Source organism: Homo sapiens, chromosome 5 (assembly GCF_000001405.40).
Source record: "Homo sapiens chromosome 5, GRCh38.p14 Primary Assembly".
NCBI classification, from domain to species: Eukaryota; Metazoa; Chordata; class Mammalia; order Primates; family Hominidae; genus Homo; species Homo sapiens.
Window position 1 is genome coordinate 7,414,938 of NC_000005.10, and position 16,293 is coordinate 7,431,230.

General features: G+C 42.2%; 1 protein-coding gene and 1 long non-coding RNA gene across 6 annotated transcripts in view, besides 6 other annotated features; both read left to right on the forward strand.

Moving 5' to 3' along the window:
* The window catches only part of ADCY2 (adenylate cyclase 2), a 433,944-nt gene that overhangs the window by 18,800 nt on the left and 398,851 nt on the right, over positions 1 to 16,293 (forward strand). The window lies entirely within an intron of this gene.
* On the forward strand, positions 101 to 14,349 carry LOC105374646 (uncharacterized). The gene is made up of 2 exons (XR_925763.3): positions 101 to 3,013; positions 4,293 to 14,349. It is a non-coding gene; the product is annotated as an uncharacterized LOC105374646 (long non-coding RNA).
* Positions 4,970 to 5,693: an enhancer, noted in NCBI's record as "OCT4-NANOG-H3K27ac-H3K4me1 hESC enhancer chr5:7420020-7420743 (GRCh37/hg19 assembly coordinates)". NCBI's record gives its function as "activates a minimal SCP1, AML or CMV promoter by ChIP-STARR-seq in primed H9 embryonic stem cells {active_cell/tissue: H9 hESC(primed)}" and the evidence as "EXISTENCE:reporter gene assay evidence [ECO:0000049][PMID:30033119]".
* Positions 5,694 to 6,418: an enhancer, noted in NCBI's record as "OCT4-NANOG-H3K27ac-H3K4me1 hESC enhancer chr5:7420744-7421468 (GRCh37/hg19 assembly coordinates)". NCBI's record gives its function as "activates a minimal SCP1, AML or CMV promoter by ChIP-STARR-seq in naive H9 embryonic stem cells {active_cell/tissue: H9 hESC(naive)}" and the evidence as "EXISTENCE:reporter gene assay evidence [ECO:0000049][PMID:30033119]".
* Positions 7,257 to 8,126: an enhancer, noted in NCBI's record as "OCT4-NANOG-H3K27ac hESC enhancer chr5:7422307-7423176 (GRCh37/hg19 assembly coordinates)". NCBI's record gives its function as "activates a minimal SCP1, AML or CMV promoter by ChIP-STARR-seq in naive H9 embryonic stem cells {active_cell/tissue: H9 hESC(naive)}" and the evidence as "EXISTENCE:reporter gene assay evidence [ECO:0000049][PMID:30033119]".
* Positions 9,615 to 10,144: an enhancer, noted in NCBI's record as "H3K27ac-H3K4me1 hESC enhancer chr5:7424665-7425194 (GRCh37/hg19 assembly coordinates)". NCBI's record gives its function as "activates a minimal SCP1, AML or CMV promoter by ChIP-STARR-seq in naive and primed H9 embryonic stem cells {active_cell/tissue: H9 hESC(naive and primed)}" and the evidence as "EXISTENCE:reporter gene assay evidence [ECO:0000049][PMID:30033119]".
* Positions 10,145 to 10,672: an enhancer, noted in NCBI's record as "NANOG-H3K27ac-H3K4me1 hESC enhancer chr5:7425195-7425722 (GRCh37/hg19 assembly coordinates)". NCBI's record gives its function as "activates a minimal SCP1, AML or CMV promoter by ChIP-STARR-seq in naive H9 embryonic stem cells {active_cell/tissue: H9 hESC(naive)}" and the evidence as "EXISTENCE:reporter gene assay evidence [ECO:0000049][PMID:30033119]".
* Positions 12,134 to 12,825: an enhancer, noted in NCBI's record as "NANOG-H3K27ac hESC enhancer chr5:7427184-7427875 (GRCh37/hg19 assembly coordinates)". NCBI's record gives its function as "activates a minimal SCP1, AML or CMV promoter by ChIP-STARR-seq in primed H9 embryonic stem cells {active_cell/tissue: H9 hESC(primed)}" and the evidence as "EXISTENCE:reporter gene assay evidence [ECO:0000049][PMID:30033119]".

Consider the following 16,293-nt stretch of genomic DNA (forward strand, 5'->3'; position numbering starts at 1 on the left):
AATTGTATGTATTATGGGGTACAAGGTATATGTATTTATATCTGTATGTATGTGTATTTATATCTGTATGTATGTGTATTTGTATAGATGTGTATGTGTATGTATATGTGTGTGTGTATAATTGGATACATATGTGTTTAATATAAAATTAAATCTAATTATATGCAACATGTCACTTCCATAGTTTTTTGGTGAGAAGCTTTAAAATCTACTCTTTAAGCAATTTTGAAATATACAATACATTATTATTAACTATGGTCAGCATGTTATGCAATAGATCACTGAATCTTATTCCTCCTGTCTAACTGGAAGTGAAATAAGCCAGGCACAGAGAACAAAGGCTTTTGAAATAGCTGTCTTTGACTCATGGTCAAAGTCACTCTGTCCTCATTTTAGCAAACCCATCGTACCACAGCCAAGGAGCTGGCCGGGGCCTCATACTGTCACTTGTTTCGGATAGCTGAGCTTCAATTCTGTCCGTAGCCTTGTTTTACATCTCGAACCACAGTTTCGACAACTCAGTCCTTCTGTTTCCGGAGTGCCTTGTCTAGGCTTCCTATTTCTCCAGGTGCTTGCAACCCTCCAGGACTGGTTGTTGTCCTTAAATTCCTTCTCAATTACTAGAATTTTCCTACTTAAAGACCCTTCCTACTTCTGTGACACTGATTTTCCCTCCACATGGTCACAAGCTATTGAAGGGGTGGCTTCGGATACCTGCTGAAAAACCCACATTCATTCATTTTGCACCTTTTGAGGCTCTGGGCCTCAGGTCATATCCTGAGGAGAGTGTTGTCTAACTATTGGCTTTTTTCTGTAGTGCTGCTGCTATGTGGGTGGCTGCTCCCAGCATATTCATCTGACAGCGTGATAAATGGTGTGTTGTCTAGGGGACAGGCCTAGGCTGAGATGTGAGCTACTAGTTTAGAGCTTGTCAACCGAGACATGGAGTTTTGAAGCCATCCAGGGAGAGGGTGACTGAGTAGCTGAGAGGGCTGTCGCAGGGTTGATGGGGACATTGAGAGCCAGGGGTGTGCCAGGAACAGGATCTGGAAAGGAATAGAGGAGCCATGATGGGGAGAAGAGAGCCAGTGAGGGTACACTGCTGTAGGGAGGGTTTCCAGGGTTTCCAGAGGGTGTGGACAGAATGGCTCAAAAGCCATGTCAAGGGACAGAATACTGTTGGTGTGCCTCAGTTGGAAAGAGCCCAGAGATGAGCTGGCCAGTGGGTTCTGTTGGTAAGTAGTCATGTGACCTCTGCCAAGCCATTATTCTCTTTGTGCCTCCATTTCTTGGGCAAAGGGAGGAGGCTGGACTAAGTGAACTCAAGTTAGTCTTTATGGCTCTAAGAGGACACTGTCATAGTGGACACAAGACCCGGCGGGCGCCATCACCTCTCCTTTATCACTCTCCCACTAGAGCCCCTTGGAGGGCTGGGCGCGGCCCCCATGCTCTGTCTGGCTTCTTCCTCTCCCTCACACTCCCCGCTCTCTCCTTCACTCTCTGTGCTCCTGATGCCACTTACACTCTGTCCTTCCCCACTCAATTAGAAATCCTGGCTAATACAATTAGACAAAATACTACATAACAATAAGGTAAACATGAGAGGGAGAAAGAAAATTCTAATTATCTGCAGATGACCATACTATCTATACAAATAAACTGGGAGTCTCAGATCAACTAACAGAACTCATAAGAGAGCCCACCACGACTGCAGGATCAATATAAAAACAATAGTATTCTTATGCATCAACATTGACCAATTAGAAAAGGTAATTTTAAAAATTACTGTTTAAAAATTTTCTCCCCCAGCAGCCTAGACATCCTGTTGCGTGCATACTGGTGCCCAGGTAATGTAAACAGGAGAACAGTTAAGATCCTGCTGGTCGGTTGCCTGGATCTGGTGGTCTCTTCTTGCACCAAAGCCATCTTGTTTTAAAGTTACAGGTTTCTAGGAAGACTTAGTGTCTGGGAGGCCAAGTACCTCTTCTTGTTCAGAATGTTTTTAGCTCACTTTTTATTACGGATCAGTTTGTCATGTTCAATGAAAAGTCCATTTGGGTTCTGGATTTAAATTATATTGAATTTCTAAATTTTTGTTATGAAAGATATTTAAAGCCTAAGAATTAATGAAAGGGTCGTGTATAAAACATCCAGAAATATGCTCTTTTTGTGTTTCGTCTTTTCATCAAATGGCATGGCATGTCTATCAAAGAATTCTGATTACTTTTTGTTCCTTCGGAGACTCTTTTTTTTCTTCATAAAATCAATAATAATTTTCGTTAGACTCAATCTTAGGTACCTAAAGTCTTTTTGTTGTTTTATAAACAGAATTTTAAAAATTACCTTTGCTAATTGGTCGGTGTTTATATATAAGAATACTATTGTTTTTATGTTGACCTTACAGTGTCCGTGGGCTCTTCTGGGTTCTGTTAGTTGATCTGAGACTCTCAATTTATTTGTATAGAATTTTCTTTCTCCCTTTCATATCCTTAATTTACCTTATTCTGATGTAGTATTTTGTCTAATTATTTTAGCCAGGATTTCTAATTGAGTGGGGCAGGACAGAGTGTAAGTGGCATCAGATGTTTAACTTGATGGGAACATGGAAGATTCCAGTAATACAATGTTTGCTTTATCATTGTTACTATTTATAATAGAACCAATTAATCAGGATAAGGTCCTTTTGTCTGTCTGGAATGTTCTTGTCCCCAGGTTGCATGTCCTTAGAACGATCTTTCCTGACCCCTATCTGTCACTTCATAAGGCAACATCACTCACCTTGCTTGAGTGTTTCCATGGCACTTAGGGCAACTTATAGAACCTTAAATTACAGGACACACCCCTCTCTTTGTTTATTGATTGTCTGCTGCTGGAACATAAACTTCTGGGCAGGGACATGACTGTCTCTCCAGTATCCTATCCTTACCCTTAGCAGAATGCTGTCCAGCCATTGGCAGCCAGTAGCTTCTCATTTCATATGTTCATTGACAGATGACTGTATTTTCATCTTCAGGTTTGTTGTTGTTATTGTTTGTATTTTAACCTTTTTTGCTGTTGTTGTTTTATAACATGTATTTTGTTTTTTTGACACCATCTGCCTGCTTTTAAAAATCTCCCTAAGGATCATAAACATGCTTGTATCATAGTCATTTTCTCAAGACTGACTACCCTCAGGTGTTGAATTTGTTGGCCAAATTTCTTGGTTTTAGCTCTCCCTGTGTACCTTGACATTTTTGCTTTTACGTACATCTTGAATTCGAATATATTCACCTCTGCCCCTAATATAACCCCAACCATTCTGTGGTTGTCTTTCCCACGCCACTGGGGCCCTGGATCGTGAGTGTATATGAGGCTCAGCCCAGGTATTCCATGTTAATTTTGCAGGTTGGGAGGCCAGCTCAACCTGCCGCCTGGGGATGTTTCTGGGAGGAGCACAGCTATGTCTGCTAGGCCCTCTCACCCAAGGCATGATGCTTAGAAAAGGCCATAGCCAGGCTCAGTGGCTGTAGCTATTTTTGCCCACTATTCCTAAGCCAGGAGCATTGGCAGGGTGTGTGCCTCATGCAGTGGACCGGCTCATACCCCTTGGAGAGACATCGAGTCCTGCCCCTCCTAGAGTCTGAAGTCCTGCCCAACACTTCTAGCTGCCCCTGTCCATTCTATGGGAATGGGGGTTTAAAATGAAATTAAAAACAAAAGTCTACCTTCTGTTTTTTTTTTTTTTTTTTTTTTTTTTGAGACTGAATCTCACTCTGTCACCCAGGCTGGAGTGCAGTCGTGCGATCTCGGCTCACTACAACCTCCGCCTCCTGGGTTCAAGCAGTTCTCCTGCCTCAGCCTCCTGAGTAGCTGGGATTATAGGCACGTGCCACCACACCTGGCTAATTTTTGTATTTTTAATAGAGACGGGTTTCACCATATTGGTCAGGCTGGCCTTGAACTTCTGACCTCATGATCTGCCTGCCTTGGCCTCCCAAACTGCTGGGATTACAGGCGTGAGCCACTGCACCCAGCCCTGGTGTCTTTTACTACAGACTTCATATATGTATACCCCTTAATTAGCCATTAGGAAGTGTTGCGGCACGTTCACTTTGCTCAAGAAAGCACTGTGCTTAGGAAAGCAGGCTGCTTTCAGTATCCTTTAGAATAGAATGGTTCCCACTGGAAGATGGTTAAATTAACAACATAGTTGTAAAGTGATGCAGGAATGAGCCTGCTATGCAGTCAGAGGGAACAGTCTATGCAGGACCACTCTCATTGCTGATACTAATTGCAAGCTGGGGGGTTTCCAGGACTACCCAGAGATTGGACAATTTTCTAGAAGAACCCACGGAACTTGTGACAGCCGTTATCGCTGTGATTAGGGATTGCTACATGGGGAGAATACAGATGCACTTTGGCAAAGAGAAGAGCCCAGGAAAACCGCCAGACATGGAGCCCCTGTTGTCCTCTCTCTGTGGAGTCATGGCTGGTGCTGCTCTCCTACAACCACATGTCACAATGGCCAAAGAGAATTATCTATTGCCGAAGCTCAACTGAGCCTTTGATGTTCAGAGTTCTCCACTGGGGCTCAATCACGTCCTGCCTGCACAGCTGACCTTTAGTCTCCAGCCTTCCGAAGGTGAGGCTGACACTTTTATTCTCCAGTCCCTCTGGAGGTAGCACTGACATCACAGGGCTCTAAGTTCCCATCATAAACCACATTCAGACTGTCCTGGGGTCTAAGCCCCCAGATAAATAAACACACTCTTCTCGGGCAGGACATTCCAAGGGCCTAGGTCACCTTCCAGCAGTTGAGGGCAAGGCCAGACCTCATATAAGGTTAACTCTAAACTGTACAGTGGCTTGAGTGTAGCTCATAGTCAGCAACATGCACCAAGCACAGACAGCTAGCACGTGCATGGTCTGGACCCAGTGCCAGACCCTGTTCTGAGTGCTTCCCTTACATGACTTCACTCATTCGTTTATGAGCGGGGCACCATCCTACCCCAGCTTTCCAAGTGCAGAGACGAAGGCACAGGAGGGAGGCTGAAGTACAAAGGAATTTGAGCCCAAGGGGTCTGCCTCCTGAGGCTGGCTCTCAGCCAGGAGACCTGTGCTTCTCAAACGGGAGCGATTGCACCCCCCGGGGACATGTGATTGTGTCAGGAAACATCTTCCATTTGTCACAGCTTGGTCGGGTATGGGGGAATGCTACTGTCATCTCGCGGGCAGAAGCTGGGGATGCTGCTAATCACCATACAACGCACAGGGCAAAGAATTATGCAGCCCAGTTCCGAGCCTGAGAAGCCGCATATCACCCAACATGGCCTCTCTGTAATGCCTTTTAAATAACCAGCTCTTAAGCCCTCAGTGAGCAGAACTGTATGAAGTTGCCACGGCACGACTGAAGAGTGATGTTGGCAGTTTTGATCAGGAAAGAGGAGTAATTTTTCAGTGTGTGCCCCTGAGAAAGTATAGGCAACAACAAGGGTGGGGACCCTGGGTGTGGGTCAACAACCTGGTTTGGGAGGAGTCACTGGGAAAATAAGGAAAATGGAGCGAAAAAGACCCCAAACCTTCAAGAGATTTGCCCTCACAGGTTTTGACTGTAAGGGGTGGGGTTTTCCAAACGTCATTATTTTAGTTCGGCACAAACCACCCCCATCCCGAAGGTTCCCTCTGCTCTGTGCTACTGGCACTCAACCCAGCTGATGCCATTCCACGTAGCTGCCTCCCAGATGAAAACTCTTTTAAAACAATATAACCTCTGAGTGAAGTCTGCGCAGTAACCTGCAGAGTTTCTGGCTCCCGGAGTTCGGGGCAGCATTTGCATTTGACAGGGAAGTCTTTTTGGTCTGCCTCTTGCCTGACTGCCTTGTGAAATGCCTTTCATTTGTGCTTCCAATTCCCCATTGATAGAGCTGTTAGGATGGCTGTGAGGGTGATGCTGCGATTGTGTTTCATTTTTCTGAATGGTTTAAAAATACATGAGCATGTTGAACTCAAAATTAGCAGAGGAGTATGTTTTCTCTGTCCTGGTGCATCTAGTAAGTGGGATCATTTTTATTTTTAAGAAATCAGTGGCAGAGTGTATCTCTCCCTCTCTGTCCAGCTCAATTACACAACACAGCAAGGATTTCTACCCATAATTGCTGTGGCGCCCACCAGTCCCACCGGAAGGAACAGGGAAGCTTGGAATTCCAGAATGTGTTTATTGGAGTCCTGTCACTGATTTCAAAAAGAGCAGTCATTTGTCCCATGGGTAGACATTGGATCTGTTTCTAGTGCTGCTGTAACTAAGCCTCTTTCAAGTTGTGTTCCATGGCTTAGAACAAATAGAAGATATTTATTGTCTCAGCTCTGGAGGTCAGAAGTCTGCAGAAGTCTGAAATCACAGTGTCAGCAGGGCTGTATTCTTTTGGAAGACTCTAGAGGAGAATCCTCCCCTGCCTCTTCCATCTTCTGGTGTCACTGGTATTCCTTGGCTTGCAGACACATCACTCCATCTCTGCCTCCGTCTTCACGTGGTAGCTCCTCTGTGGCTCTTCTCCTCTTCTTATAGTGACACCAATCATATTGGATTACAACCACCCTAATGACCTCATCTTAATTGGATGACATCTGCAAAGACCCTGTTTCCAAATAAGGTTACAGTCACAAGTACTGGGGTTTAGGACTTGAAGCTATCTTTTCAGGGGACACAGTTCAACTCCTAACTGACAACGGTTCCCTAAGTGGGTGCTCTCTGGTAGTAGGACAGGCATTTCCATCTTGTGGAGTGCTGCTCTGAGGTTCACTCCTCCTTCTTAGATTTGGAAATTGCTCTTGATGTTGACTTTCCCTTAACCTTCAAATCCACCTTGAAATTAAATGTGGGCTATGAAAGTTTTGAGGCTTTTATCAGGTTGGTGCAAAAGTAATTGGGGTTTTTGCCATTATACAAACCTGTTTCTCTAAGGAATTAGAGACGTTCTTGTGTGTGAATATCATGTTGAAACAAATAAACACTCATGAATGTAAAGAGAAAATAACTGGTCCAATCACATTGCTGTGTAAATAAACAGAGTGCTGTCAAGGCATGTTAGCATGCTAGATGTTGTTGATTTATCTCTGCCCTTCCTGTCATGGAAGTGTTTCTTGTTGGTTCTTACATTCATGGCATTGATTAAATCCTTCTTGCCTGTTACATTAAAACAAACAAACAAACAAACAAAAAAACAAAACTTTGACTCACTTTGTAAACCCTAAGCTTTTAAGTGATGTTTTATTTGATGATTTTGTTTTTCTTTCTTTTTTTTTTAATTGAGATGGGGGTCTTGCTATATTGCCCAGGTTGGTTTTGAACTCTTGGCCGCAAGCAATCTTCCTGCCTCAGCCTCCCAAAGTGTTGGGATTGCAAATGTGAGCCACCGTGCCCAGCCTGTTTAATGATTTTCTGACAAGCACGGATCCACTTCATCTCAGCTGATAATTACTGACTTAGGACCCTCCTCTGAGATGGTTTTTTTTCAGGCAGGTTGGATTGCCTGGAATGTCTTCTGCTCATTCATGGGCTTAAAGAGCCATCAGTGTGGTCAGGAAGGATAGGAAAGCTGACCCACATTTGCATCTGACTCCAGCTTTCTGCATTTCTCTTGTACTAAAGCTCATTGAATAGAGTTCAACAGAAACTTTTATTCCTGACAACCCCATTTCAGCCTTGGCAGGGAGACCATACTGAAGTTATTTTACAGATTTGTTAAATTACCACCAACTCGAAAGGCTAACATTTTTCTCTAGGAAGGAGAGCCTTTCTTTGTCCTGTTACCTAAAAGGATGTCAGACATTCAGCATGTGCATATGTGTCCTTTCTTACAAAAATAGGACATCAGTGTGCAAACATCTTTTTTTATTGAAAATGAGCGAAAATGAAAGAAAATAAAGGCCTCTCTTAGCCTTTGAACTGGTGCAGAATCCTTTTGCTTTTCCTCTAGTGCAGTCACTTGGAATGCGACCAAAGAATGTATTTACCACTGGAAGAACCGAGTAGCATATGAATGAAAGTAGAAAAATGCAACCTAGAAAGCCTGTCTCTGTGCACCCAAGAAACTCTTCTCTGTGTGCTGCTGTGTGCCAGGATGATTTTTCAGTGTGGGCATTTGGACTTACTATGAAGAAGCACACACCTAAGAAAAATTAAACAGTAATTAAAATTATTTCCATTAACAATAAAGAGGAGGATATGTTTTTGTTGTTTAATAACCACACCTATCCTGATGACACCTGTGCATTTGAGGGAAGTGCAGCTGAGCTGGGCTCAGCCTGCAGTGTGTTTATTGGGAGACCTCCATGTTTCTGGCTCTTTGGAGCAGAGGAGGCATTTCTGAGTTATCCCTACTGTGAGTTCCCAGCCAGAGCGTTGAGAAACCAAACTGGCTGATGTGGTTTGGCTCTTTCCCTACCCAAATCTCATTTTGAATTGTAGCTCCCATAGTCCCCATGTGTCTTGGGAGGGACCTGGTGGGAGGTAATTGAATCATGGTGGATCTTTGCCATGTTGTTCTGGTGATAGTGAGTAAGTCTTATGAGATCTGATGGTTTTATAAAGGAAGGGGAGATCCCCTGCACACACTCTCTTGCCTGCCACCATGTAAGACGTGACTTTGCTCCTCATTTGCCTTCTGCCATGATTGTGAGGCCTTTCCAGCCATGTGGAACTGTGAGTCCATTAAACCTCTTTTCTTTATAAATTACCCAGTCTCGGGTATGTCTTTATTAGCAGCGTGAGAACAGACTAATACACTGGCTTGGCTGTCCCTCGAGCTGAGGATTTACCCTAACCCTCACTTAGGCCTTCCCAGATCTGATCTTGCTTGAATGGACAATTCTGTTGGTCTTTCTGGAACATTCTCTCTGCTCCTCCTTTTCTCTGTACTGCTTTTCTTAAGAGGAGCATGGGCTCCGGTACTGAAAATTGGCATCATGACTAAACTGTCCTCTGGCCTGCACACAGACTTTGTGATTCTCCTCCCACCCCCATCTCTACAGCCAATGTGTGTTAAGGAGTCCGATGTAAATTATTTGGATAATGGATACCCTAAAACCCTGATTCACCATTATGCAATTTATGTGTGCAACAAGATTACACTTGTACCCCATAACTTTGTACAAATAAAAATAAATACTCTGTGGTCTTTGAGACATTTTTGCTTGCTGCTCTGTTCCCAGTGCACAACACAGCACCACACACGTAGTGATCACATCGCAAAAATTGTGGGAACAAATGAGTGTACAAATACTGCATCTGTGCACTTGCCCCTTCTACCGTAGAATGATCAGAGTCACTTCCAAGGTCCTCCAGTAGCAGGCACCATGTGGTTACTTTGCATACACAACTTATTTGATCTGTATAACCCTGTGAGGTAAATACTATTATCACTTGCATCTTGCTGATGAAAAAATTGAAGCCCAGAAAAGTTAACCAACTTCCTCAAAGTCACACAGTGAGGAAGAGGACCAGAATTTGGACTTGGCATTCTGCCACCATCACATGGAATGTCCAGATGCCCACTGTCATTGGTGACTAGGGTGTCCCCCTCCTGTTGTGCCCTGGCACATGACAGATTATTGTGTGATGTGAAAGGGACATATTTGTGAATCTGGATTGTTCTATTTGAACCACTTTTGGGTTGATGTTATTTGGAAAAACTTCGTGGGGAGGGAGCAGTTTCTGCAGAGATGCCAAAAATATGGTACTGTCACTGTTTCGAATTGCCAGATGATATTTCCATTTGGAGGTATTTTTCACTCCTCACATGAATCAATAAGAGAAATAGGACTAACTTAGCCCAAGGAATAATAATAGCCCATGTATGTATTAGGCAGCATTACTGTTGGGGAATCAACTAAAACTGAAATTCTACTTTCTCCTAAAGAGATTTATTATACATAGAGTCCTTATAATTGTACCTCTTTGTGCTGGTTTTCTCATCTGGGTCTGCCCTAGCTCCTATATGCCTGTCCTTGGCCTCATTCCTCCCTGTAGGAAAACCTCATCAGGTGCAAAGGGCACTGGAAGGGCATTCACTAGGATGCCACACAGGGTTCAATCCAGCCACTCGCCAGCTTCTCCCTGTGCGGTGCCAGCCATGGGTCCTGTGACCTCCCTTGAAGCCTGCCCAGTGCTGCTCACTGTCTCGAGAGCCCCAGACCTATGTGTGCAGCTCTCAGGGCATCTGGAAGAGCCTCCTAGGGAAGGCAACACAAGGGCGCAACAAGGAGGTGTGAGTGGGGTCTGGGATTTGCAGTGTTTTCCTGAAAGAGCTGGACTTTTACAAGGGAGGAAAAATGTTCTCTGAGTTTCCCAAACATCTGTTTTTGACTTAGTTTCAATGGAGGTGTTTTTGATGGCGGCTATCTTAGGGCTTCTGCATCATCTCCCTTGTGTTTGTCATGGAATTCCAACTACTCGAGCATTAAGTCTTGGATGCTGTTGTTCTATCCCAAGAAACATTCTTAAGAGAATTTGTGACGAATACAACTTCGTCTCCATCAGAACAGAGCTGTGTATATGTACCCATGCAGGCATGCAGAGAACCTGCTGGAATGTAAGAGAGTGAATTATAGACTTCAGGCTAGAGCAGCAAATTCTCAGGAAAAAATAAATTCAGAGTTTAAATTATTTCCTGTGAAAAGTTGCTAAGCAACACTTCACTAAACTCTGGTATTCTGTATTTCAAATATATTTTTTCTTAGCAGCAACTAATATTATTTTCACTCAAGTCGTAAAGGGAGGAGTGAAGTACACACCTGCAAATCCAATAAAGGCATTTGCCTGCCGGAGGCTTCACAGTAAACTTTTAGATTCATGCTGAATAAGTATGGGGGAAAGCAGTTGAATATTTTATACTATCATGGTATTTTTTTCTTGCTCTCTACATTTGCAGTGCTTTGTTAATGTGTGTTTCCCATTGGAACTGTAATTTTCCTATTTGTAGAATGAGTTTGGGTATTAACAGGTACTGTAGATTTTAATTAACTCATTGCTGTACCATCAGCTTCCCATCAGGCCCAGCCTTTGTGTCATCTTGCTCACAACTGGTATTCCCAACCCCCAGGCGAGAAACAAGCATGTGACTCAGAGGCGAGGTAGTAAAGTCCCTGGAAGAGTTGCCAGAGATGAGGTGGAGAGGCCCCATCCTGCATAAGGAAAGTCCATTTCATTATTTTAAACACTGCTCTGGCCAGACAGCTTACCTTCTATTTTTGTCCAAAGATTAGTGCCCTCTAATAGGAGTTTTAGCCAGAATAAAACATTTCTCTGAGTTAAAAGTGAATATTGAGTTCTCATCGTTTACTTTTTAGAACTATTTGGCCTTTGTCTTAGTCCATTTTGCTGCTATAACAAAATACCACAGACTGGGTAATTTATAAATAATAGAGATTTATTTCTCTCAATTCTGGAGGTTAGGAAGTCCAAGATCAAGGCACCGGCAGATTTGGTGTCTGGCGAGAATGGCTCTCTGCTCCCAAGACAGTCTTGTTGCTGTGTCCTCACATGTCAGAAGAGATGGAAAGACCAGGCAGCTATCTAAGCACTCCAAGGGTATTAATTTCATTTATGAGGGCGGAGTTGTCAGGTCCTAATCACCTCCTAAAGGCCCCACCTCTTAACACTGTTGCACTGGGGATTAAGTTTCAACTTGAATTTTGGAGAGGGCATAAACATGTAAACCATGGCAGCCTTGGATTGGAGTTTGTGAGTTTGTAATCATTTCCGGATCTTAGCTTCAGCACCATAAGCATGCAGATGTTGGTATTTCTCTCTGCTTGTGGACCATCCCTGGGTCTCCCCCAGGAGATCTAGAGCTGCCAGCACTGGCTTCCACCCTCTGTAACGGCTTTGAGGTCATGGCTCCTTTTGCCATCTCTAAAGAGTGTGACCCAAATGAGGAATGGCCATGGGAGGCTCACCAGGCGCAGAATTTAGGAGAGAAAAGCTTTGCCAAGAGTGGTGAACAGAGCTAGGATGCTGTGTTAACATGCCACTTTGCAATATTTGTGGTTGTCTGCTGCATTCATGTCCCAGGGCTGCCAGAACAAAGTACCACAAAGTGGCTGGCTTAGAACAACAGAAATGTCTCAGTTCTTGAGGCCAGAAATCTGAAATTAAGGTGCAGTTCCATGCTCCCTCCGAAATCCTGGGAGAATGCTTCTTGCATCTTCTCAATATTCTGTGATTTGCTGACAGTCACTGGAGTCCCTTGGCTTGCAGCTGTGATACTCCAATGTCACGTGTTTTCCTCTATGTCTCTGTCCTCACATGCCAGTTTCTTACAAGGACACCGGTTATATTGAATTAGGAGCCCACCTGTATTAGTTCATTCTCATGCTGCTGTAAAGGACTGCTCAGGACTGGGTAATTTATAAAGGAAACAGGTTTAATTGACTTACAGTTCTGCATGGCTGAGAAGGCCTTAGGAAACTTACAATCATGGCAGAAGGTGAAGAAGAAGCAAGGCACCTTCTTCACAAGACAGCAGCAGGGAGAAGTGCAAGAGGCTTATGAAACCATCAGATCTCGTGAGAACTCACTCACTATCAGAGAACAGCATGGGGGAAACTGCTCCCATGATCCACTCACTTCCCATCAGGTCCCTCCCACAACACGTAGGGATTATGGGAACTACAATTGAAGATGAGACTTGGGTGGGGACACAGCCAAACCATATCACCACCCCACAACAGTATGATGTCATCTTAGCTAATTACATCTACAATGATCTTATTTCCAAATAAGGTCACATTCTGAGGTTCTAGGGGGTTAAGCCTTTGGCATATCTTTGTTTTGGTGGGGAAGGGGACCAAAATTCAACCAGTAACAAGTACCAAGGAAGGAACTCAGATATGGGAATCATGAGAATCTTATTTCTACTTTTCCATTTGCTTTGGAGTGTTTGAAGCCCAGCGGACCTAAAATTCACATCTAGACCTAGTCTGTATGCAGAATCCACTCCATATGGCATGGCTCCTTGTGCTAAATGCAATTGTGGAGCCCCTTGTTAAAAAATTATTAAGCATTTCAGAACAACAACTACAGAGCATTTAACCAAAGGCAGGCCCCCTCTAAGACTGAGCCCTGTGAGGCTGCACAGGCCACACCCCAGGGAGCTGGGCCTGTCTGCTATCATGCAGAGGGCAGGGGTCGGGGAGCTGAAAGGTGATTTCAGCTTTTCAGGTTTTAGGTTTGAACTGCTGGTAGCAGGTTGATGGAGATCTGAGGACCACTTACATTTTCTATATCATGACTTTGCTTCAGGCAAAAAATTCATACTAGCAGGAGGGAATCTCCAGCCATCTGAAACACAGGGAATGCTGCCTACCTCAGAGAGAATCAATGAGAAAAGTAGAGGAAACAAGGCATAATTTTTAAGTGGCTGCTTATCTTTGTTAGGGGGAAAAACACCAAAAACTATCTTAAGCCAAAGATAGAGTTTTTTCTGCTAAATAAATGGCTTTTCACTCCATGATATATGATTTATAACCATTTTCATTTGCTTAAGTTCAGCTTCCATTTTAAAGAAAAGCTTTAGTTCCCAAGTTTCCATTAATACATACCACACTGTGTACTGGTATAAATTATGTGAAATTGAATTATTTTTCAATAAGCTGGGTTTCATAATTTTATTGTCCAATAAATTCAAAGCTGAGATTAATAAGTATTCTGTTAAAACCAGTGAGGGGATAATTTCATTCCCAAGTAGATAGTGTTTTGTATGTCCATGTTCAAACATGATGCAGAAATTGAGTCCTGATTTACCTCCCCACCTTGAACAGCTAAAAAACAGGACAAAATACTTGAAACAATGGCTTTAAGACATGGGTCAAAGGATACTATGGGAAATTGACCCTGATAAGAAGGGGAACAAAAAAAGTGAACTCTAGGATTGCTCCAGTTTCCTTTCTGGAGAGAGTCCGTGGGCTGTGACACAGGGAGGGGACCCAAACAGAGCCCAGCTAATTGCACTGAGTTGAGGAAACAGAATTCTGAGTTTGGGAAGACAAAGGTGCTGAAATTCTCAGGATGGAATACCAAGAGGTATGAGAAGAGTTGCACAGAGAGAGAGAGAGAGAGAGAGAGCTCTAGTGATTTGTAGAGGGTCCCACCAATTCATCAGCAGAGTACTGACAGGCACATGCCTAAGAGCAATCTACTGAGGCCAAAGAAAAAAGCTCCAGGAAAGAGCAGGTGAAATAATTTCTGGTACTCGCACAGGCCCTGAAAGAGCAGGTACAGTGAGAAGGGGACATTGCCTACTGATAAAGGAATTAGTACCTCAGGAGGAGCTAACAGTTTCAAATACCTGTGCCCCTAGTAAGAGAAATTCAGAATACATGATGTAAAAATCCATGTTTACTCAGAGATTTTAGTACCCATTTCTCAATAACTGCTGAGACAAGAAGAAAGAAAATGAATAAGGATATAGGAGATTTGAAAAGTCCCATTAAACAAGTTGACCTAATTCATCTTTATAGAACACGTCCCAACAATGAAGAGTGTGTTTTCTTTGAAATGCATGTGGAACATTTATTTACTAAGATAGACCATATTCTGGGCAACAAAGTGTTGCTGAGTTTAAAAGGGTTGTTATGATACAAAGTATGTGCTTTGGGCATAATGGACTTAAATTACAAATCAATAACATTAAAAAGTCTGAAAAATTAATAAATAATTGGAAGTTAACCAACACAGTTCTAAATAACCCATGAGTCCAAGAAGAAATTAAGGGGAAATTAGAAAGTATCTTGAATTCAATGAAATGAAAACATGCTGTATCACGATCTGTGGAATGCACCTAAGGCAGTGCTTAGCAGGAAAGTGATAACATTAAATGTTTATGCTGAAAAGAAGAAAGGACTGAAATCAGTAACTTGAACTTTCACTTTAAGAAAATGGAAGACAAATTAAAAGGAACAGAAAACAACAAAATTGGAAGCAGGAAAACAATAATCAGTGAAATCCCAACTGGTTCTTTGGGAAGGTTAGTAAAATTGGTGAAACTCTAGCAAGACTGATTGGGAATAAAGATAGAAGATAAAATGATTGATATTAGGAATATGAAAGGGGTTATTGTTATAGGTTCTACAGACCTTAAAAGTTTAATAAGGAAATATTATGAGCAACTCTTTCCATTAAATTTCACAATATAGATAAAATGGGCAAATTTATTGAAAAGCGAACCAGTAAAACTCATTCAAGAAGAAATAGATAAATGAAATAGCTCTATATGTAGAAATAATTTGAATAGGTAGCTAAATATCTTCCTATAAAGAATGCTCCAGGTCCAAATGGCTTCCCTGGTGAATTATACCAAAGTTTAAAGAATAAGTAATCTCAATTCTACAGAAATTCATCCACAAAATAGAACAGGAAGCATTTCCCAACTCATGTCATGGGGCCACCATTACTCTGATAAAAGCAAAGACATTCCAAAGAAAGAAAACTACAGACCAGTATCTTTCAGGAACATGGACACAAACATTCTAACCAAAATTCAAATCAAAATTTATCAAGTGATTACCACATTTAATCTAGTAACACATATATATGTTCATGTGTGTATGTATATATATATACTATATATATATAGTATATTGATATACTATATATATAGTGTATATATATAAAGGATAACATGAACAAATGTAGTTTATCTCAAGAATGCAGAGTTGGTTTAATATTTTAAAATCAATTTTCGTGATTCACCACCTTAAGGATAATTTCAACAGGTGCACTGTGTGTCACCATTTCAGCAGATGCCAAAAAGGCTTTTGTAGTCTTACATATTGGAATCATCTGTTAGAAATGGAAAAAAACCATTTAATATAAACTCAAAAATAGGAAATACTTAGAAGTAAATTTGAATAGATATGTGCAATTTCACTACACAGAAAACTGTAAAGCGTGGTTGAGAGAAGTTAAAGAGCTAGATAACTGGAGAGAGATTCTGTTCATGGATCCAATGACAATGTTAAATGTTAATTCTCCCCAAATTTAACCAACACAGTTTCTCCCCAAATTTGATCAACACATCTTGAGATTCAGTACAATCCTAATTGAAGTCCCAGCAAGCTTTTTCATAGAGAGTAGGAAGCTGGTTCTAAAATGTATATGGAAATGCAAAATACCCCTTAAAATTTGAAAAAGCAGGACATGGAGATCTTACCCTACCAGATTTCATGATTTATTATAAAACTACAGTAATCAAGATAGCGTGATATTGGTGTAAAAATAGACATTTAGGCCAATGGGATACACTAGACTATCCGGAA